At 39.1% G+C, this 24,193-nt stretch overlaps 1 protein-coding gene and 1 long non-coding RNA gene across 6 annotated transcripts in view, besides 1 other annotated feature; one reads left to right on the top strand and one right to left on the bottom strand.

Moving 5' to 3' along the window:
- HMGA2-AS1 (HMGA2 antisense RNA 1) overlaps positions 1-17,301 on the top strand; it is a 31,099-nt gene extending 13,798 nt beyond the window's left edge. Inside the window, exons 2-3 of one of the 2 annotated variants that reach the window (NR_158985.1) lie at positions 1,574-1,724; positions 16,876-17,301. This is a non-coding gene — a long non-coding RNA (HMGA2 antisense RNA 1). Of the gene's footprint in view, positions 1-1,573; positions 1,725-8,439; positions 12,582-16,875 lie in introns of those variants that run through there. The other variant, NR_158984.1, reaches the window with a different exon arrangement.
- Positions 1-24,193, bottom strand: part of HMGA2 (high mobility group AT-hook 2) — a 141,832-nt gene that overhangs the window by 97,764 nt on the left and 19,875 nt on the right. The gene's annotated exons all lie outside the window — the stretch shown is intronic.
- Positions 7,553-7,753: a silencer, noted in NCBI's record as "peak1769 fragment used in MPRA reporter construct". NCBI's record gives its function as "represses an SCP1 promoter by STARR-seq MPRAs in K562 erythroleukemia cells {active_cell/tissue: K562}" and the evidence as "EXISTENCE:reporter gene assay evidence [ECO:0000049][PMID:32103011]".

Below are 24,193 nucleotides of genomic sequence, written 5' to 3'. Positions count from 1 at the left end.
ATTGCCTCAGTTCTCCCTTTCCTGTTTCACAAGCAGACACAGCAAAGCCCGGAGAGTAATCTGACTCCTCCACGATCGTAGTGGACTGCATCCGGGATGATATTTAGTTTTCCTTCTCTGTGGGCTCTGTAAAACCACCTACTGCTTAAAGAAGCTCTTTGACATGTTCTGAACTCTAAGAACAAATGAAAATGGCATTTTGGGAAAAAAAAAATGAAGCCAGAACAAAGAAGTCAGAAACGTGATACTGCAAGATCAGGCACTTATCTGCACTGCAAATGAAAAAAGTTTCAGACTCAAAGAATTAACAATTTAACCACTAGTTTCCCCTTGAGATGTTACTGTCACAAGAGATCCTTACATTTCCAGTGGCATTCAACAGATTCTCCTCTTTAGTGAGGACAGCTGCAGAAAGTTACTGAATATTTGCTCCCTCTCAGATGCATAAAGATTATTTTGTAAGCAATGTTGGAGAAAGAAAGAGCTCAAAAGGAGGGTGAACATCAGAAGAAAAAAGGGACAGATCTACAAGGTGCTTGTGACATCTGTTTTCACTTTGTGCTGTGGCCAGTGGCAGAGTGGAAGACCAACCTTTAATCAACTTAGCAACATGGTGCCCATGTCCAGTTATTCAAGTGCTTAGTAAATACTGTTACAGAGAGCCCAATGAGGAATGTGGGTCTTCTGGGAATGTGTAAGAAAGAAAAGGCACGTTCTTACCCTCGAGATGCTTATAGTCCTGTTCAGATGACAAGCTTTATGTGTTAATACGTTAATTCAGATCTTTTCCTCACTTCCTTCAAAACTCCATCCAAAGTTCTTCTCCTGCAGGCAGCCTTACGGCTCTGACTAATAGCTCATGCCTCAACTCTGTGTCCCCACAAGACTCATATCCTCCACTTTTACACAACTTGAACTTGGCAGAAGTGTTCTTCAGTTGATTCATGTGTGCTCAGTCCAACTGATTTGTCAGTATCATGAGGATACGGTTTTGGTCTTCTCATTCCTTTATGTCTTTTCACAGTAATTAGTTCTGTAGCTTAAACATAATAAACACTCATTAAGGGAAAACTGGCCAGCCAATTCTAACTCCTCCTGCTCAGATGACACTCCAAGTGTGCTGGTTCCTGGCTTTCCCACTAACAGATTAAGTTCCTAGAAGTTCCCCTTCCTGAGAAGGCCTCCAGATTTTCATGCTGCCTTTGTATCCAAAAGCAAAGATGTTCTCAACAGAGCAAAAAGTTAGAAAAGAACTCGATGTCTCAGTGGGCTAGATTTCTGCTCATTGCAAAAACAGGACAAGGGCCTGTTTCTACGTAGCTTGTGCCATTAGCCACATTCAGGGATACCAGTTAACAAAAATGGCAGGCCCTCAATTTAGTGTCAATGTTTTTTTGTCATTATGTGAGCTAGTTATTTAACTCCCTGCTAAGTTATCTCATGTACCTCTTGCCATTTCTTTCCTCACACACTCTCCTCTTTCTTCTCTACTTTGTTCTTCTGCAGTGTTTAGAAACTAGAAAATCAGAACTGATTTCTCCCCCTTCAATCTCTCAATCTCTCTCTCTACCAGTGTCAAGATGGGAAGGCACATGTTCCTATCTTGACAGCAGCAGAAAGAAAAATGGCAGCAGAAGGAAAACAGCAGCAGAAAGAAAAATTTGACTCAGATGGGTTGAGAGGGCAATGGCAAGCAATCTTGGTACATGTCAGCTGCATCTCAGGTAAGTGTTAGTGATTTTTTTTTTTAAAGTTGGCACTGCTGAAAAGAAGAATGACTATTCACATTAATAACTGCCTTCTTAAATTTGTAATGAAGAATGAGAAGCGGGCTAAGGTACAAGAGGTAATGTTTATTTCACTTTGAAGCTTATAGGTAGTTACATGGGTATCACAAAAAGAACAGATATAATGAATCATCTTGCCTTTTACCTGACTCTTAAGACACCTGCAACATATCCCTTGGATGTTCCGCCTTGTCACACTCATAACCGAGGGGAAAAAGAAGACAAAGGTGAATGCTCAGTTAGCCCCTAACCCTCTTGTCCTATCTGCTGTTAATGTTGCCCACAGGTCTACCAGCTGCAAGGCTATCCATGACCTCCTCCATCAAGTCCACCCAGACTCTCTGATCTAAAGCAGCCTCGCCTACTCCAATACTCTCCATTACATTAACTTGGTTCACTTTTCTTCTTTGCTCTTATAAGGCTTGAAATCATCATCTGTATTTTTTTAATAACTACGCCGTCATTTATAATCCCTCTCTAGAATGTAAGAGCCACAAGACTAGGGACCTTAAGTTTTCTCCAGTGTCTCTCCAAATATCTAGCACAGTGCCTAGCATTAGCAGAGTGGGCTAAATGTTTGCTGAGTGAGTGAACAGATGTTTCCTTAGGAGTCAGTCTCAATTTCCATTTTTTCCCCAACGTTTGTAAATCTTCTCTCTAATATAGAGGTCCACCCTCCTTAGACACAAAGGAATTATAGTTATACACTTGCTATGATTCCCAGAGTTCACAAATTCTGATGCTCCATCATTTTAGCCAGCAACTCTAGCTTGAATATTAGTGAAAAATAGATGGGGATGGCTAGGCGTGGTGGCTCATGCCTGTAATCCCAGCACATTGGGAGGCCAAGATGGGCAGATCACGAGGTCAGGAGATCGACACCATCCTGGCTAACATGATGAAACCCCGTTTCTACTAAAAATACCAAAAAAAAAAAAATTAGCCGGGCGTGGTGGCAGGTGCCTGTAGTCCCAGCTACTCGGGAGGCTGAGGCAGGAGAATGGTGTGAACCTGGGAGACGGAGTTTGCAGTGAGCCGAGATTGAGCCACTGCACTCCAGCCTGGGTGACAGAGCGAGACTCTGTCTCAAAAAAAAAAAAAAAAAAAGAAAAATAGATGGAGATACAGACGCTTAGAATGTATGCCTTCCCATCTTGACACTGGAGAAATGGAGAAATGTTATTCTAGCACATTCTGAATTGCATTCCAGTTCAAATTTGAAAACCTTAAAAAGCCTGAAGACTAACTTAAGTTTCAATTTAATACAATTATTTTAAAACAACAGCTATAATATTTTTACTGTACATATGTTCAATTATTACTAAGTACTTTCATTTCTATCTGTAAAAGTATAGTATAAAAAGTTCACCCTCATGAAATCAGACAAAAATACAATTGACCCTTCAACAATGCAGGGGTTGGGGCACTGACTCCCTGTGAAGTCAGAAATCCAACAAAAATCCACGCAAAACTTTTGACTCCACAAAACTTAACTGCTAATAGCCTACTGTTGACTGCAAGCCTTACTGATAACACAGTCGATTAACACATATTTTGTATGTGATATTATTATATACTGCATCCTTACAAACTACATGTAAACTACAAAAAAATAAGACAAGCAAGAGAGAAAATTTGTTCACTACTCATTAAGTAGAAATGGATCATCATAAAGGTTTTCATCTTTACTGTCTTCATGTTGAGGAGGCTGAGGATGAGGAGGGGTTGGTCTTGCTGTTTCAGGGGTAACAGAGGCAGAAGAGGGAGAAGAGGTGGAAGAGGAGGCAGGAGAGGCAGAAGCACTCAGTGTAACTTTCACTGAAAGAAATCTGCATATAAGTGGACCCGTCCAGCTCAAACCTGTATTGTTCAAGGGTCAAGTGTGCACTAATATGAAAAAGAGCTGAAGTGAAAAAATGGATCAAAATATTTCTAATCATAGTTAAATAATCTAAAAAATGTAGGCCACTGACAATTTTATGCTTCTGTTCAATGGCACTGCACATACAATCCAGAAGAAAAGCTACTATGTGTGTTAAATGGAAACACTATAAAATCATTTGTAGTGTGTCCTAAGAAAAGAGGAGTATATGAACATTACAATAGTAATGTTAATGAATTTAAACCTTTTTTTCCTAGTATGTTAAATATTTCCCTGTATTACAAAAATTGTGAGCATTCATAGCAAAGCTGGTGTTCTCTGCCAAATGCAAGGTGAATGTGTGCTATCTACAAAATAGTCAACAGTGGAGTGAGTAACATAACAGGGGATTTCAAGGAGATGGAAGACAACACTATTATTTTCCTAATGCTCATAATTCTGTTTCTGGCTATGTAATTTTGTCTTTATAACACTACTCAATTAAATTTATATTTGGGCCAAAAAATTATCATCTTGGCTGCCATGTAGCACTCTTCAAATCTCTTAAAATCACTTGCTTAAGTTTGCTTTTTCTGAAAAGCACTTACCCACCTCTCTGGGGTGTTTTTTTTATGAATTAGGAATCCTGGAGCCCTCAGAGTCTAAGCATGGTTGGCAGGTTGGAAGCAAATAAGCACGATGGAAATGGGCCCTACTTAGTTACTATGGATACCTCAGATATAAAGGATCCCTATTTGTAGTGCTCATCAACAACTACTAGCACAAAATCCCTCATGCTGCTTGGACCTAAATAAGGTCATAAATGTTTACTGCACATACATAATATTCATGGAACCCTTCTAAGATTGCAGAGCCACAGTGCGGGAAATGATATTTCTTTCCTTTGGTGGATTTTCATATCCCATTTTCCATCTGGAGAAATGAAGATATTGTTTTGCAATTACCTTTACAGAACAGAGCATTTTTGCTGGACTACTAAAATCGCTTAGCCAAAGTTGGGCATAAATGCAATTCCTGTGCCAAGCCAAATTACCTGGAAACATCACACCCTTCAAAAGGTTTGAATACTTCATGTTTTGGGGTGAGGGTTGCGACTTCTGTAGTCTAAAGACAACATTCCCTAGTCAGTGAGACTGAGCTGGGCACAGGATTTGGTATTCCTAACCTCCAAGATCCTGTCCATGGGAAAACCATTCAGGACTTTTCTTGTGAATGAATCCCAAATTACAATTTAGTTTCTCATCATCTGGTCCATGCAAAGGATATTGTTGTGATTTTTTTTTCTTTGAAATCTAATGATCCTTGAAAACAAGGCAGTCAGTGTAAACACACCAGGGACACTGTACTCCTCTTTACAGATGTTCACCTCATACTGCAGAAAGGAAGGTGCAGTCAATTTCGGGAACCAGGACTTGCACTTGTGCCCTGTTTTGGCTTAACAGTTTTAGTTTGAGGCCAAGGCAGTCAGTTTAAACACACCCGGGACATTGCATTCTTCTTTACAGATGTTCACCTTGTACTGCAGAAAGGAAGGTACAGCCAACTTCTGGAGCCAGGACTTGCACTTGTGCCCTATTTTGGCTTAACAGTTTTAGTAAACCAACAGAAATGCTCCATTCTGTAAAGCTAATTGCACAACAAAACCTTAACTTTTCCAGAGGCAAAATGGGGTGTCACTAGATATGAGTTAATGATCTGGCCCCAAAAGAATTCTAGTTTCATTCCCCAGCTCTACTTAAGTGCTGATAGTGTCGTCAGGATTTAGGGTTCACTGCTGTTGTTGATTATCCCAGTGGTAAGCTCAGTCTAGTGACCTAATAGATATGAAACAGCCATGCCAATTACCATGAGCTGAGCATGGGTGGGTAGAGCAAGGGAAGCATGCGTAAGTTCGTGTGGACGGTGGGACAGCTGGAGAAGGATGTGGTAAAGACCACTGGTCCACATACTGCCGTTGGCAGTTGACAACCTATATTATCTCCTTTGTGTGCAGTGGTCCCCATATTCCCTTTCTTCTCCACTTTCTATATCACATTTCATTTTCCACATTCTCTTGGGATCTTTATCCACAGCCATGGCTTCAGCTACTGTGACCCATGGCTCCATCAGCTCAGCTCCCTCTCCTAAACTTCACACACACTAAGTACATGAGTGTTTCATCTCTATCTTGAATTCTAAATCCACTCTTCCTCTTCTTGAGTTGCATGGTCATCCACCAAGTGACACATACTTCTAGTCCAGGTCTAATCCTTGATGCTTAACACTTTTTTAATTTTTGTAGTATAAGAGATTTCTAACAACTGGCTTTCATTTTGTACACCCAAGTAGATTAATTGTTCTAAAGTAGTATTTTAAATGCACTTTCAAAAATATTTAGTTTTTCCTCAATTACTGTGTAATATAAAAATGTAGAACTACCTAAGACATTTAGGCTTATTTGCAGAAAATTGATAATACTATAATAAAAGCAAACTGTAGTAGTGGTGGTGGTACTGATTGTGGGACACAGAGACAGACAGAATCCCATTTTCTGTTGTTTGAAGTTATGGAATGTGTGTGTGTGTGTGTGTGTGTGTGTGTGTATGGTGCATTTTGGTAAATTTGTTATAACATCTGAAAAAAGGTAAGTATATCCAATGCTTATTCTTTTGTTAACTCTCTTAAAACAGTATGACTCTCTGAAGTCATACTGTTCACTTAGAAACATGTTGCACAGCCAGGCGTGGTGGCTCACACCTGTAATCCCAGCACTTTGGGAGGCCGAGGCGGGTGGATCACCTGAGGTCAGAAGACTAAGACCAGCCTGATCAACATGGTGAAACCCCGTCTCTACTAAATAAACGAAAATTAGCCGGGCGTGGTGGTGGGCGCCTGTAATCCCAGATACTCAGGAGGCTGAAGCAGGAGAATCGCTTGAACTGGGGAGGCAGAGGTTGCAGTGAGCCGAGATCGCGCCATTGCGCTCCAGCCTGGGCAACAAGAGCGAAACTTCATTCCAAAAAAAAAAAAAAAGAAACATGTTGCACAAAAACGGATTTTTTTTTCAAAAATATGTTGTTATATTAAATGTTAAAGCATATCTTTAAAGCCAGTTCACAGAGAGAAAAAAAATTTAAGTATAATCTATATTTATTTACTCAATTTACTCTTAAAATTTTATCAGTTTGTTTTCCATGGAACTACAAGGTGCTTAAATTAAATATATATAGTATCTAGGTTTTTTTTTTTTTTTTTTACCAATTTAGGATAAATCAATATTACCTAAAACGAGATGAAACTACCAATGCAATATTTTGAAAAAGAAAAGTAATTTATTTTCTGAACGCAGTGTTCCATAGTGACCCACATATATAAAATGATGATTAAAAAATAAGAAATACGTTTACATACAGGTTTTGTCACATGGAACGCTCTGTTTTATCCATCCAATACAATAGCATGTATTGTTTTCTTAAATTACCTTTTTTTGTTTTGTTTTGTTTTGTTTTGTTTTGAGACGGAGTCTTGCTCTGTCGCCAGGCTGGAGGTGCGGTGGCACGATCTGGGCTCACTGCAACCTCCACCTCCCAGGTTCAAGCGATTCTCCTGCCTCAGCCTCCCAAGTAGCTGGGACCACAGGCATGTGTCACCATGCCCGCTCATTTTTTGTATTTTCAGTAGAGACAGAGTTTCACCATGTTGGCCAGGATGGTCTCGAACTCCAGACCTCGTGATCCACCTGCCTTGGCCTCTCAAAGTGCTGGGATTATAGGCATGAGCCACCACACCTGGCCTAAATTATCTTTTTTAAAATCAATCATAGACACGTTTTTTTCTTAATTTTGAAGAAAATGCCCCAAAGTAGACACATCTTTTTCCAGTTCTGCAGAAAAGTGTGCCATGAAGTCAAACACCATGTGTGGCAGCTTCAGCTTAGCCTATGTCCCTGAACCAGGCCTAGTAAGATATTCTACATTTTGTTATCTTTGAGAATATTTTCCAACATCTGCTTCTATGTCTACTTTCTATTTTGTAATCTCATTGAACAGTAGCAGTGCTAATGTCACTTATATTTATGTCTCTAAGTACTGAATCCAAGAGATTAGCAGCAGCAGTAATTCCTCAGGGTATAGTAATTAATGACATAATACTGTGGACATACTTTTTTGAAAAAACAAAAACTTCCAATTACGCAGTTTAAAGAAATCATTTTGTGGGAATGACCTGAGTAGCCTAGCCACGTATTTTTTGTTCTTCATTTAACAAATATTGTATTAAGCGGTTACTGTATACCACAGTCCTAGGTTTTGAAGAAAATGCAAAACTGTTCTCAAGGAGTTTACAAAACTGGTAAAGATAACTGTTCAAAAATTACCAGTACAAGAGAAAATGGAGAATGCTATAATGAAAGCAAGGCATTCATACAGACAGTCCCTGACCTATGATGGCCTGACTGGAATTTTTTGGCTTTACGATGGTGTGAAAGTGATACACGTTCAGTAGAAATTATACTTCAAATATCCATACAACCATTCTGTTTTTCACTTTCAGTACAGTATTCAGTAAGTTACATGAGATATTCAACACTTTCTTATAAAACAGGCTTTGTGTAAGATGACTGTAGGCCAATGTAAGTGTTCCGAGCATATTTAATGTAAATATTCTCAGACTGTAGGCAGTGTAACTGTTCTGAGCATATTTAAGGTAGGCTAGGCGAAGCTAGGATGTTCAGTAGGTGAGATGTCTTAAATGCCCTTTTTCCTTTTCTCTTTTCTTTTCTTTTCTTTTCAGACAGAGTCTTGCTCTGTTGCCCAGGCTGGAGTGCAGTAGCACAGTCATGGCTCACTGAAGGCTAGACATGCCAGGCTCAAGCATTTTCCCACCTCAGCCTCCCGAGTAGCTGGGACTATAGGTGTGTGCCACCACACACCTGGCTAATTTTTAATTTTTTTTTTTTTTTTAGAGATGGGGCATTACTATATTGCCCAGGCTGGTCTCAAACTCCTGGGCTCAAGCAATCCTCCCATCTCAGGCTCCCAAAATGCTGGGACTACAAGAGTAAGCCACTGCACACGGCCTAAATGCATTTTTGACTGATGATATTTTCAACTTCCAATGAGTGTATCAGGACATAACCCCATGGCAAGTTGAGAAGCATCTGCAATGCGTGTTTACCCTCCTACAAGGATGAGACAGCCCACTTCTGACTAGGGCAGTAAGGAGCTAATTCATAAAAGGTGCTGTCTAAACTGGACTTTGAAGATTAAAGAAGATTTTAAGCAGCTGAAAATGGAAGAAGGAAATTGCAGGTAAAAGTGAAGGTGAGAAAGTGTTCGTCCTGTTCATGGAATAGGATGTTTACTCTTAGTTATTTCCATATTGGAAATAGAGCTTTCGGCTACATGTATATAAGAAAAATGGTATTATTTAACCACAAATGAAGACCCAGTTAGCAGTTTCTGAGCAAAGCAATGACATGCTGGAGTAATGACAGAGGAAGAACAATCTGGAAGTGGCCTCAGGACACACATGTAACAAGAGCAGGGGAGAGACAAAGTGTGCATTGGAAAACAGGCAGACTGTAGGTAGGGTGATCATACAACTTACTCTCCAAATTAGGACACTTTGGGGAGTGAAAGGGGTGCTATTGATAGTTACACTACTTGGAGGCTATAAGTGAATTTGGTAGAGGAAGGAAAGTAGTGGGACAGGAACCTGATGACCTAGCAGGACAGGAAATCTTAGGTTGATTCCTATTTCTTCCAGTGCAGAACTGTGTCTTGTAATTGTTTCAGTCCCTCACCAAGTCTGGCTTATAGCCAGTGCTCAATAAACATGGAGTCACCAACTGATGACAGATAAACACGATCCCTAGGCGTCATGCCTGGGAGATGCTGTCTACATTTCTCCAAAAGGTCAAGGGTGGCAATATCCCAGAACTGTCAAGATTTTCCCTTTTATGACTTTTAAGAGTGTTTCTTCAAAAACCTTGTTAGCAATCTACATAAAAATAATGCAACAGTCCAGTTGATTAGAATAAAAAGTAGAAATACTGTACAAGAAGGGCTGCCTTTTAAAAATAATCAGAAAGAAGCACAGTGAGCGAGATTTAGACTCTTTGGCTTTATTTTTAGGAGGTTTTTTGTGGTTTTATGTTAAAGCATTCACCATTACTGCAATATTTAATATACATTTTTTTAAACCCCTGGAATGTCAAATAACTAGGCTGTGCATAACTCTCTCATGAATTCAATATGTAAAGGTACAAATATAAGGTACCCATTAAACAAAAACAGAGAAAAATCAAAGAAGCACAGCAAAATTGTTACAGAGTGGTTTTTTTAATTTTTCATTTCTTGCAACACTTCATTCTAAAAGAAAAATTATCACAGGATTGAAAAACAAACTTGTTTTCCCTTTAGATCATACATAAAACTTGACTATTATTTGAAGTTGATAACAGAAACTGGTGTTTCCAAAGATGTCACTGAATACAATACTTTTAGGAATTGCTGAATCAAATTTTCTTTTCTTTTTTTTTTTTGTAAATGAGAAAGGTAGAGAGAACTGTAAAATCAGTCACAAAACATATGGAATACTGAGGGATGAGTCTAACAATCTGACTTACTCTTGTATGTATACACATTCATTTTCTCAAATTAGTACACACCATTGGAAACTGCATCAACCCATAAAAATAACTCATATGCCTATTATGTTTTTCCATTTTAAGCTTATAATAGCAGTAACGACCTCAGCAAAAGACATTTCCTTAGAATTAATGGCTGGCTGGGAGGCAGAGCCAAGGGCCACTGGTTCCTCCCAGCTGGTCATTAATCCTCAGGAAATGCCTGCACCTCCATCATTATTGCTAAAGCACCATTATAGAAAGTTCTCACAGTTCCAATATATGGAAATTTGAGGCCATTTTGCAAGCCCATGGTATTCATGTGAGTTAATAGGCCACCACTGAGCACAGAGGATGTAATTATCAAAACGACAGAAGGGAAAATATTGTTCTCCTAGGTCTGTAAGATTATAGGAAATGGGGACTAGCCTTATGGGAAGAGGTATATTTGAAGCTAAAAGACATTAATTTAAAGGGAGGTTTGGAATCACATATATAAAAGTCAGTAAAAGACAGAGCAATCCATTCCCATGACTTCGTTTAAAACTATTTTTTTAAGGTGCAAATAAAGGTTATTTGGAAATTTCCTCCCAAATTGATAAATGAATATTAAAGAGAATGCAGTCAGGAAGACTGTTTATACACACAAATTATTATATTCAACCAGTGAAGTCTGGGGGAATGAATACATTTGACAGTGCTGAATGAGAATGGGATTTCTTTCTTTTAAATTTTGGTTTAAAAATTGAATACACACCATTAAATATTATAGAGCAAACATTTTATTCTAGACTTTATTACTGCTAAAACAAACAAAAACCCTAAAGTTCTGTCTTTTTGTCTTAGCTAGGGGCTTAACACATCAAACAAGCATTAATAAAACTGAAGGCCAAAATGATAACAAATACAGTGCTGGTGCTCTGTGACACAGTTTCAGTTCTCTGCAAAAGCTTTTGCTAGCTTCCAGGCTAAATTGAAAATAAAAATTAGGTGTTTTCAGGTCTATTCATTCCTTCCTTAAAATAAACTAAGCCCAACAAATGTCTTCAAAAGAGGGAATTAATCCAAAAATCACACCAAAAGCAGTCTATAAATCTTTTGAATGTGTTATTGTAACAAACTACAAATGTTGGATATGATGCTTTACACTTAATGAAATTCACTGCAGTTTCTCATTATGCATTACAAATACCAGCCTGGTTCTAACAGGTTTAAAGTTATAAAGAACTGTTATGGGTTGAATTGTGTCCCCTAAAAAGATATAGTGAAGCCCTAACCCACCTTGTCTCTATGAATGTGACTTTATTTGGAAATAAGGTCTTGGCAGATATAATCAAGGTAGGATGAAGTCAGTGGGGTGGGCCCTAATCAAATATGGCTGGTGTCCTTATAAGAGGAAAAGAGACACAGACACACAGGAACTGCTGTTACCACCATGTGGCAACCAAGGCAGAGAATGGAGCAATGCATCTAAAAGCCAAGGAGCATCAAGGATCACCAACAGCACCAGAAGTGAAGGGAAAGAGATGGAACAGATTCTTCCCTAGAGCCTTCAGGGAGAGCACGGCCCTGCCAACACCATGATGTCAGACTTCCAGTTTCCAGACTGTGAAAGAGCAAATTTCTGTTGTGGTAAAGCACCCAAGTTTGTGGCACTTTGTTATGGCAGCCCTGAAGAAACTAACACAGGACCTGAAGGAAGAGATTTATCAGAACTGTGGTCAACATTCCCAATGGAAATCCAAGGAAGATCGGGTGAGGCAAGAGGAAGCGGCTCGCTACAGGGAAAAGCAATGGACTAGAAGTCAGGAAACCTGGCTCTTGTCAGAGCTAACAAGGTTGTGTGGCCTTGAACTGGACACAATTGCTCTGGGTTTTCATTTTGTCACCTGTAGAATATAAGAGGATTTAACTATATAATCTCTACACCAAGTCTAGCTTTATAGATGGGAAGACCAAGGACCACACAGACCAACATTTTAATACTTTCAAATTCACTGTTCTGGCATTGCTTGGACCTCAGGGACAGAAAGCAGGACACAGGAAACAGAACTGCAGTCTTCCATTTGCCTCAAGCCATGCTTACTGCAGCAATGTGGCCACATTTATTTTGGTTGAGTAAGGCCCAAAGGAGTTTGCTATGGAAGCAACAGCAGCATATGCTGATATTCTATAATTATTTTCTTTCAAATATAACTTTTTCTGCACTTCCAAGATTGTCAAAAATGTCTACAGCTGATTCAAAAGCATGATTTTTGTTTAAATAAGATAATAGTTACCACCAAAAATAAAGAATATCACTTGTAATTCGTAGATATTTGAAGTGCCAATAGTCAAAAAGCATTAGTCCAAAAAAAAAAAAAGAAAAAACAGCTCTTTGTATGCCACAGCATAGCTGGGATTTAGGATCCAACAGGGCTTTTGGTCCAAATATACTAAATGTATTCTCCAAAAGAATCCCATAATGATCACATTGATAGTGTTTTACTCTTCAGTTATTATGATCAATCATTATCATCATCATCATCATCATCATCATCATCATCATCATCTGTGTTCTGGTTACCTAAACAAACACTCAGATTCTAAGAGTGACTAGTGGAATGCAATAGACCTTGGCCATTCTTAAATGTTAATATTCACAGTTTGAACTGTTTGCAAATCCATTTTTTCTCAGACTAGAGTGCAGGCCTGAGACATTTAGCCTGGAGGGGCAACTTGGCCATCTGCCTAGTGTTTGCATCTTAGCACAGCTTTGCTCTGTGTGTGTGTGTGTGTGTGTGTGTGTGTGTGAGAGAGAGAGAGAGAGAGAAAGAGAAAGAGAGGGAGAGAGAAAGGAAAGAGAGAGACATAGTTGTAATATGAAATTTTTATTTGGGGAACCTAAACATTACAGTGGCATTCTCAAATGTGGATCTTCCTAAATGTGTCAAGATGACATGGTTCTACTATAATTGTTCTAGAGACTGGGCCAGATAGCCAAAGTACAATTAACAGGACAGTTTTCTCAGTGAATATCTGCCCGCAAGGACATTTAAAATCTATGTGAAACAAGGAATTTCCAGGGGATGAAGGTATTCATCCACAACTTCAGGACGAAACAGGCATGTGTTTCAATATATCCCAAAGGGCAAGCAGGTACTCAAATACGCCTGTTGTATGTGCCTTCAGGAAAAGCAGGTGTGTTACACTCCCAGGCCAATCCTTTCTTTCTTTCCTGGCCTCTGAAGTTGGCAGAACTCTGAATGCAGTACAAAAGTGTAAGTTACTTCAGGCAAGCAGTTAGCTGTGTGCAAAGCCCACCTATGATTTTGCCAGGGCCAGCCAGACCTTTATAATGAGGGAATGTGAAAGAGTAACTGCACAGCCAAAGACAGGAACCATGGGCCAGAATTCCTCTCCCCACATTCCTACAGTCATGCAAAGTTCTTGTGTACTTAGAGAAGACAAATTTAGTGTATGTCATCATGGGATGTGCCACAAACTCCTGAGCAACTGACAGTCTTAAAAGAATACCGGAGTGGGGAGGGAGAGCATCAGGAAGAATAGCTAATGCATGTTGGGCTTAATACCTAGCTGATGGGTTGATAGATGCAGCAAACCACCATGGCACACATTTACCTATGTAACAAACCTGCACATCCTGCACATGCACCCTGGAACTTAAAAAATAATAATACCTTTGGTAGTGAATACATGAACCTACATGTGATAAAGTTGTATATAACTTGATGCTCACACATACACACACACAAATAAGTACATGCGAAACTGGGGAAATCTAATCGCGATGAATGGATTGTGTGAATGTCAACATCCTAATTGAGATCTTGTTCTACAGTTTTACAAAATGCCAGCATTAGGGGAAAACTGGTCAAAGCCCACAAGGCACGTCTCTGAAAGAAAAGGGGGCTAATTTTTCTCTCTACCAGAGAAAGGGCACGAAAGAAAGTTTTATTTAAAGAATTTTTTTATTTTGAAAAACATAAATGTGTAAGGCTATCAAAATGTTCCTTTCTATATTGATGTTTCTCTTATCTAGCAATCTACAGAAAATGTGGAGGGACTTCCTTCTGACCTTTTTGTAAAAGGAACAGAAGATGTCAACAAGATAACAAACAACGTAGGTGGAACACAGGATATCTCGAAATGTGTACCTTCATCAGCCATTTTTCATGACAAACACTTTGAAATGTCCCAGCATTACACATAGTTTAAAAATTCTGCATTAAGTTAAAACTCATTAATCCTGTAAGAGTTCTTATGATTCATGAGCATGGGAAGCCTTGTTGTAAATACAGTGCGATCATCTCTCCTAGATTAACTACAGTGTCTGGAACTGCATTCCCACACATCTGCCTCAGCTTTTACTATGGACTTTAATTAGGGAACTTAATGCTTTGGTGGCATTCTCAAATTTGGATATTTCTATTTGAGATCCAGAGAGAGACGGGAAAAGCAACTGAATTTATTGAGCACTCACGATGCGCCAAGCACTGTGCATTGAGCTGCCTAGACCAGGAAGGGTGGGACCCCTGTGCGGCGAGGATGCAGGCTCATGCCCCAGACATGACATCACATTACCACTCTGCCCGCTCAGAATCACTGACTTAGGAGGCCAAAAACGATTAAGCGAGTCAATGGCTAAGGTCACAGACAGCCATAGAGAAAAGGGCCTCGGGAAAACAGCATCTACAAATCCCATATGGATCACTGCGGCTGATTTTATTAGAATACTGAAACACATAAAGTAATCTGCAGGGATATTTAACCACATTCCACTCTAGACTACTCAAACTTATGTACTTTCAGCCCCATAATTAAATATGAAACAAAACTGAATTGAGGCAAGGAAACCAAAAGATTAATACAGTACAAATATGGGGGGAAGTTTCTTGCTTCTATAAACTTGAACAGTATATTCAACAGATTTAAACTTGAACAGTATATTCAACAGATTTTAAATCTGTTGATAATTACGGTATCACATGTAAGTATTCATTTAAGCATTACCATGTCCAGGCTACTTTCTTTTCTCCCCAGTTTCAGTGCTCTTAGACAGTCCTCATGGTTCAGCTGTCACAGCCAGGACAATCAATTTTCCAACTGGTCTTCTCCAGTGCCACACTCCCAGTTCCCCACACGTCAGTCGGCAACCTTCCCCCTCAGACTGTACCACTGCAGACACGGCCATTGTCCTCTCCTGCCTGGGATCACTGCAACCTTCCAGGTCATTTCCACTCCAAGCCATCCTCAATGTCCCAAAGTTTCCTTCTCATTTAGATATGTTTTGTCCATGATGTTCTGTTGGAACTTGGCAGTGAATGTCTTAAGAGACGAATTCTAAAATCCTCCTCTTCAATGTCTACTACTGGAGAGGTCTCTTCTGCTCATCTCTCTCTCCTGGGCACTTCACCTATTTATTACCACATAGATCATGTGGCACTCTCTTAACCTCACCCAACCCTGCTTATTTATTCACTACTTCTGCACATGAACCCAATACCTTTCATGTTGGAATTCTTTTGATATGTCTCTGTGATACATCTGAAAGTTGTCAGTTTTAGCCTTTCAACCATAAGAGCAGATGGAAATGGAAAAAGAGTAAATGCCTCATAAACCATTAGATAAGACAAGGGAAAAGCTGAAGATAGCAAGCTAAGTGTTAGAAGTTATATAAATAACAGGAACAATTTCATTCACCCTATTGTAGTATATGAAATTTTAATTATTATTATTATTATTTTTTGAAACAGAGTCTCGCTCTGTCACCCAGGCCAGAGTACAGTGGTGCAATCTCAGCTCACTGCAACCTCCACCTCCCGAGTTCAAGAGATTCTTTGGCCTCAGTCTCCCGAGTAGCTGGGATTACAGCAGCGCGCCACCATGCTCAGCTAATTTTTGTATTTTTTTCTTTAGTAGAGATGGGGTTTCACCATGTTGGCCAGGCAGGTCTCGAACTCCTGACCTCAGGTGATCCACCTGCCTTGGCCTCCCCAGGTGCTGGGATTGTAGGCGTGAGCCCCCGCATCCAGCTAGTGTATGAAATTTTAATTGCTGATACTTACTGCTGTTACCTTATGATTGCAAGGTGCTTTATTTGTACAAATTATTTGTACAAATTATTTGCACAAATTGTACTTTGTACAAATTTGTACAAAGTACAAATTACTTTCAAATTATTTGTACAAATTATTATTTGTACAAACTGTACCTTGTACAAATTTGTACAAAGTACAAATTACTTTCTTATATTATTCTGACCACAACCCAGACAGGAAGACAAAGAAGATATGACAATTATTATCCCTCTTTTACATAAGAGCAAGCAGGTTCAAGGATAAGTCACCTGTCCAAGGTCACAAAGCTAGAAATTCATTAAGTCAGAATGCAAGTCAGAAAGGCCTTTCATCACGAACGTAGTGTTCCATCTACCATATCATTTGAAGTCTCATTCAGAACCGTGATTAGTGGGTTAGAAAAACAGGACATAGTGAGAAAGACTTGGGAATGTTATTGTGGAAAATGGAAAGCTGACAACATATTTTCACAGGGTTTAAAACTAATGATTTTTTGTTGTTGTTGTTGTTTTGAGACAGAGTCTCGCTTTGTTGCCCAGGCAGTGGCATGATCTTGGCTCACTCCAAACTCCGCCTCCTGAGTTCAAGCTGCTCGCTGGAATTACAGGTGCCCGCCACCACAGCTGTCTAATTTCTTGGTTTTTGTTTTTGTTTTTGAGATGGAGTTTCGCTCTTGTCACCCAGGCTGGAGTGCCATGGTGCAATCTCAGCTCACTGCAACCTCTGCCTCCCAGGTTCAAGTGATTCTCCGGCTTCAGCCTCCCAAGTAGCTAGGATTACAGGCATGCGCCACCACACCCGGCTAATTTTTTGTATTTTTAGTAGAGATGGGGTTTCACCTTGTTGGCCAGGCTGGTCTCGAACTCCTGACCTCAAGTGATTGACCTGCCTCGGCCTCCGAAAGTGCTGGAATTACAGGCCTGAGCCACTGTGCCAGGCCAAAATAATGGTATTTTGAGCATTTACTAGGTACTGGATACTTTAGCTGAAACTACAATGGAGATATTACCAGCCTCATTTCACAAAAGAAGAAATTTAGTCTCAGAGAGGTAACAAAGGCCTAAGGTTAGTAAGTGATAAGGTTCAGACTCAAATGCAGATATGTTAAGACCCAAAGTACGTACACTTTACAGTACCCCAAGTAGGAAGATATATTTTGAAGAGGAACATAGCAGATGTTCTCTGTCACCATTAAGAACAAGACAAGAGGAAATGGACTAAGAACCGTAAAAGGAGAAATTCTAGGTTGAATACATGAAGACCCTCCTGTCACAGGAAAGACGATTAAACTTGTACACCACTGTCAAGGATGCTCATGAAATCTCCTTTCTAAATTGCTTTTTTCATACACATAAGGATGTTTTTCTACCAAAGATAACTTCAAGACTGCAAGTGAATTAATCTAAACATTTTCTTGGACACAAAAATATCTCAGACTCAAAAATAAAAAAATAAATAAAAGCACAGGATAAAACACCCAAATTTTCATACAAATTGGGAAATTTTGTGTTTGCCTTATGGATATAAAATGTCAGCTTCTCTAAATGTTTATTGTAATATATTTGTTTCAAAGATAGCAAATAGTAAGTCTGAATACTTACCACATTATTACAATCCCAGCAGAAAAGTCTTTTTTTTTAGTAAAAAAAAAAAAAAATTCGGTCTCTTCATACTGTGACTATGTAAGGCCAAGCTCTCTCACACTACACAATCTAAGTGCATTGATCATTCTATTAAAGCAATAATATACATAACCCATTTGCTTTATCATAGCAGGAAACAATGCAGTACAAGTGAGTTTAGTGTGAATTAGTTTCCTGTAAATACTGTGGCTCCCTAAGAACTTCCAACAGTGCAAATAGGGTCATAGCTGTAACAGCTTTGTTCCCATAGGTCTTAACAGTTGAAAAGGATCCCAACTGATCTCCACTAAGATGAGTGATTTAATAGCGAGGGGGACTACATGTTAGAAAAAATTACCTATTTATTGCTTATAAAATTATGGATTTTAAATGGTTTTATGTAGCTCATCAATTGTCTAAACAGGATGGAAGGCACAAAACTTTAAGCCTGGCTGATTTGATGACAAATTTTAATATCCACAAAAAATTCAACCACCAATAGAGGAAGGGCAATACTAAATAAAAAATAGAGGCTAGGCACAGTGGCTCACGCCTGTAATCCCAGCACTATGGGAGGCTGAAGCAGGCGGACCATTTGAGGTCAGGAGTTTGAGACCAGCCTGGCCAACATGGTGAAACCCTGTCTCTACTAAAAATACAAAAATTAGCCAGGCGTGGTGGCAGGCACCTGTAATCCCAGCTACTCGAGAGGCTGTGGCTTAAGAATCGCCTGAACCCGGGAGGCGGAGGTTGCAGTAAGCCAGGATCGCGCCATTGCACTCCAGCCTCAAAAAAAAAAAAAAAAAAAAAAAATACAGAGCCTACCATTGTCTTGGTTTGGTAGTCTGGAGATGACCACTCTCATTTAGGAAAATCTCAATAGCAAATCCAAACAATGTCATTAAGCTCTACCACATTGCTATGTAAGAAATTATAATAAGGAGAATTAGGACTGGGAATGAGATATTTTTCACCAAATATATATGGAAAATATGTAGTCCAAAGATATGAAAGGGGAATAAGGGATTTATTTATTGATTTGTAAATCAAACTATACTTTCTCTTAAAAGAGAAATTTTAGATTAATAGCACAGAATGAACATGTTATAAGATGGACAGCATTATCACTCATTGCCTTTTCATCCTTTCCTTAAAACTTATAAGGTGTGCATCCAGTGCCAAGAATGTCCATCTCTCAAGAGAATGAGGGGACACAGAGATGGCCATGTTCATACATTCTAACTCCACCCCTAGGAGAGTGGGCCCAGGCATGCAAATGCCTCATCAAGTTTCCACTAGAGAATTTAAGGAATACTGAAGTTGGACTACCTGAGAGAATAATGGCAGGAAAGAAAATGTAGGGACAGAGACCCTGTAATAAGGAAATTACACTCGAGGATCAGCTTCTGACACAAACTGCGTAGGATGTATCTTTTCTGACATCAGAATCATTCTGAACAGGAAATAATAAGGGACCGCAAAACAAACAGTGCTTTCTAGAACATTACCAACCATAATCGTATGAGTCCATGTTCCTCCATGCACATACAGTTATTATCTCACCTTCTTGGGATTTAGTGCTTCCTGCACTGGGGAACTGCCTTAATATTGAAGATATTTGGGTTTTCTGGGAACTTGGTAAACCTGCACTTCCGTTATTGGTAATGCTTAAACTTTTTTTTTTTTTGAGACGGAGTCTCGCTCTGTCGCCCAGGTCGGACTGCGGACTGCAGTGGCGCAATCTCGGCTCACTGCAAGCTCCGCCTCCCGGGTTCACGCCATTCTCCTGCCTCAGCCTCCCGAGTAGCTGGGACTACAGGCGCCCGCCACCGCGCCCGGCTAATTTTTTGTATTTTTAGTAGAGACGGGGTTTCACCTTGTTAGCCAGGATGGTCTCGATCTCCTGACCTCATGATCCACCCGCCTCGGCCTCCCAAAGTGCTGGGATTACAGGCGTGAGCCACCGCACCCGGCCTTAAACTTTTAAGTTATGTAACATTGCTAGCTATTATTCTAACTGAAGTACTTACTCCCATGTTGACATAAGCCTAGGATTTCAGGTTGTTGTCCCCAGTAAATCTTTAGTTGTACACCCTACTGCCTTAATGTATCACTTTAAGTGCTTTCAAATGCCCTTGAAAGAAACAAATAGAGTAATTGACTTTTTACTTTTCTTTATTCTCATGTTAGTACTAAAAATTAACAGAAAGAAAATGGGACACAAATAGGCCATTAAAATAAGTTTTTGTAAAAAGAGAGAGAGAAAGAGAAACTACCTTAGAAAATTAGTTCATGAGGTTTGGCCAATAAAGCTGTCTTCTGTTTTTCTGATGATCCAAAATTGTGACAAAAATCCTTCTAAGGTACAGCATAAGAGTCTATTTTGGAAAGCAGAATGCTATTTCCAGGAGTGAGGGAATGGAAACATTAACATAGGGCAAGACATTCGAAGTTTCTATTGGGCCTGGGTGATAGTGGCTAGCAGCTTACTTCTTTAGTGGAGAGGCATAAGATGGAATTCAAAATTATTACAAATACTGCTTTGATGCCTATAGGTTGTGCTTTTTAAAAAAAACCTGCTGTAGCCTCTTTGGAAATACAAATCATTAGTTTGGATTTTTTTAAGTCAAAGAATGTAATTCAAATCCACATTCATTACTGGAAAACAAAAATTCAAAGGCCATCCTTTATACACACTAAAGAAAAACTGTCATCCTACTCACCGAACATTTAGTAAGCACCATTATGGGCCTGAGACTGTACTAACATCAACAATTATGACCTATTGAGAGCTTGACACATGCTGAATAAAGTTTTTTTGATGGCTTCTCATTTAATTCTTATGAAACAATCCTACCAGACAAAAACTATGATTACCCTTTGTTTTACACACAGGGAAACTGGGGCTGGGATGATCAACAACTTGCCTTGATTAAGCTGATACCTGAACCCAGGCAGTCTGAGCTCTTAATCACTTTGCTGAATTCCCTCCTATGTCCTAGGTGCTGAGGTTAAAAAGATAAATAGGAGATATGCACCCAACCCTCAAAGAGCTCATTTTAAAACACAAAGGGCTGCACTATTCAGAAATATTAAAGTATATAATTAAGTTGCTATAAGACCTGGTGATTTAAAAATTATTTGATAAGCATAAATTATATTGAGTATGCACAAAGAGGAAAAATAAGGTCACCATATGTTAAATGGCTCAACAGAATTTTCCTGTTTTTTTCTGATTCCCTTTTTCTCCCTCTTTTTGGAGCCTGTACCTGACGATTTAACACCCATCTTTTTAACCCAATACTAACTAGATGAAATTTGACTACTTTGATAAATCAAATCTGTATACATTTTGTATTAGCTTATATATTTGCTGTGAAGATAATGAGAGAATGTAACCCCAGGCACACAGCACATAGCACAACCAATTCATATATCATATATAAGTGTGTGTGTGTATATATATAGTATGTATGTATACATATACATGAACATTCAAATTATGGTGTTAATATAGGTAAATTCAAATAGTGTGTCATTAGGATTTGGAAAGCAATATAATTACTTCTATGGAAGGACTTAAATTCTAAAGAGCTCAAAATACTTGAAAACTGTAATTTAATTTAGCCTCCTAACATCTGAAGCATAGAATAATAATCTACCTGGCAGGTATCAGGTTATCTCTTTAGAGCTCCCCAGACTATAAATTCCCCAAAGGCAGCCCCACCTATCTTGTCAGCCTTGACATCCCTAGGACCCAGCACAGACTTGATTTATAATCGTGTCAGAAGGCTTTGGCAAAATGTTTAGACAAATGGGAAAATCACAAAATCAAAGGGTCTCAGAACTGGAACTCTAGGGTTTAAATGATCCAGCCAAGAAAGAGACAAGCAACCAAATAGGTGAACAACAACAACAAAAAAAGTGTTTCAGTAGCCTCCGTCTCTATCTCTGTCCTGTACATGCTGTTCCTTCTGCACAACATCACGTTTAAACAGGCACTCGAGGTGCATTTTCTGAGTTAATGCACTGAAATTACAGTACAATGTGATAACACGGGCTTTCCCTGGTCATATAGTTAGGGTTAGCTCTGTGGCCTCTTAACACCCAAACAGGACTCTTTCAGCATCATAAGACAAATTCACTAAACCTGAATTGAAAGAACTACATTCCACAACCTGAGTCTAATGTAAGCATAGATTTGATGCCATTCTTCTGAATCTGAACAGAGGCTAAAGACTTGCCAGAACAAGCTTGACCAGCAGCCATTCATCGTTTACTAAGGAAATGCTCAAAAGGGACTCTTGTTTACTACGGCATCCTGAAAAAGACTTTTTAACTAACTTATAAAACCACGTTTATTGTAAGAATGAAAAAATAATGAATGAAAAACAAATTTCAGTGTCATGGCTGCATTCAGTGATTCCTGAGGACAGGGTTGGGGGCGAGCCTGGATGTAGATAATCTGAAAACCTTATGTTGGCTGTTACTCTCAGCCTCCTTCTTACCAAGCCTTTTACCAGAGCTGACCCCCTGTTCCTGACCCTGCCCCCCATCTGGTGGAGGCGCTAATGAGCAGTGAAATGGCCAAAGGGCAGGCAGCAGGGGGGAGGAGAGAAAACAAAGCAAAGAAGGGGACAAGAGGCTGGATCATCACAAACTCAATAATCAGTCCCTGGATGATAGAGCTGGCTGGAGCAATAAAGGTTTTTGTGTTTTACAACCATAAATGCTTGACAGCCATTAGTTATGGACAGAATGTTCCTGTCAGGCACTTAGACATGAGAAAAGGCACGGATAAATTAAGCAACCTGCCCAAAGGTATTCAGCCCATCAAAACGCAGAGGTCCTTTTTTCAATCTGGAATACAAGGAGTAGGCTTGATTTCATCCCATCTTTTGTCAAAAATGTTTAAATGTTTGTGTCAAGTATTGAAGAGTTTAGAATCAGGAATTCCTTGATTTTTAAAAAAAATCTTAAAGGCCGTGAGTGGTGACTCACGCCTGTAATCCCAACACTTTTGGAGGCTGAGGTGGGAGGATCACCTGAAGTCAGGAGTTCAAGACCAGCCTGGCCAACATGGCGAAACTGCGTCTCTACTAAAAAAACAAAAATTAGCCAGGCATGGTGGCGTGGGACTATAGTCCCAGCTACTCAGGAGGCTGAGATAGGAGAATCACTTGAACCCGGGAGGCAGAAACTGCAATGAGCTGAGATTTTGCCACTGCACTCCAACCTGGGTGACAGAGCGAAACTGTCTCGAAAACAAAACAAAACGAAACAAAACAAAAACAAAAACGCTTATAAAAGCAGCCTCCACCTTTAAAAACACAACAAAAATGTTCTCCTGGAATATAATCATTTTACTTGTTTACCTAGTTAAAAAAACGTGGCATATTAATTTTATTAATATACAGCATGGGGATTTCCAACCTTTTAGAAATATTTACTACCATCCATAAATACTTACAGTAAGGTGAATGTAGGTAAATATGTGTATGGGAGTAGGGATAGTACACTGTGTAAGGAAAGTCTTACATACATTTGTTGTCATACAAAATGGTCACTGATTCTACATTTGTCATTTTATTAGAATTAAAAATTGAGATTACTGTCTTGGCCAGGACTCTATTGATCTGATGATAGCATATGGAGAAATAAGATATTTTTATGAACTACCTCCTGTCTAGAATTTGCCACTCCACACAAGTGAGAAAAATCTCTTCTTCCTTGGTGATAGTCGATGCTATTTTGGCACAGCAGCAAAGCCACTGGAGCTTCAGACTCTGCAGTCAATGTTTTTATAATCCTAAATGGTTAGGGTCTGGTAGAGGTTGGCCATGCTAAACTGGATGAACTGGCTGACCAAGTAGGGCAGATTATCAATCTCTTTTTTTGAAAGTCTTCATTTAACAGAATAATTAAGAATAGCACTTACATATTAAAACAAATGAAAAAGATGTTAGTATTGAATCAAAACATGAATGATCAAATTCAATTCTTCACTTTTAGATATGACTTATTAGTGTTTTCATATTTAATCTTTTAATTTTAAATAATCTCTTTAGTGAATTTTGTGGTAAACTATTAAAATAAGATTAAGCTACTTTTCCCCATAGGGAAAAAATTTGAAAAGTACTCTATTTTTATCATAAAATATTGCAAAGGAAAAGATAGTTTCAGAAAATATTACTTACCAACTTTGAATGCATTAT

This window comes from Homo sapiens, chromosome 12, assembly GCF_000001405.40.
Source record: "Homo sapiens chromosome 12, GRCh38.p14 Primary Assembly".
NCBI lineage: Eukaryota > Metazoa > Chordata > Mammalia > Primates > Hominidae > Homo > Homo sapiens.
The sequence above is the reverse complement of the archived record's forward strand: the minus strand, read 5'-3'. Positions and strand labels throughout refer to the sequence as shown.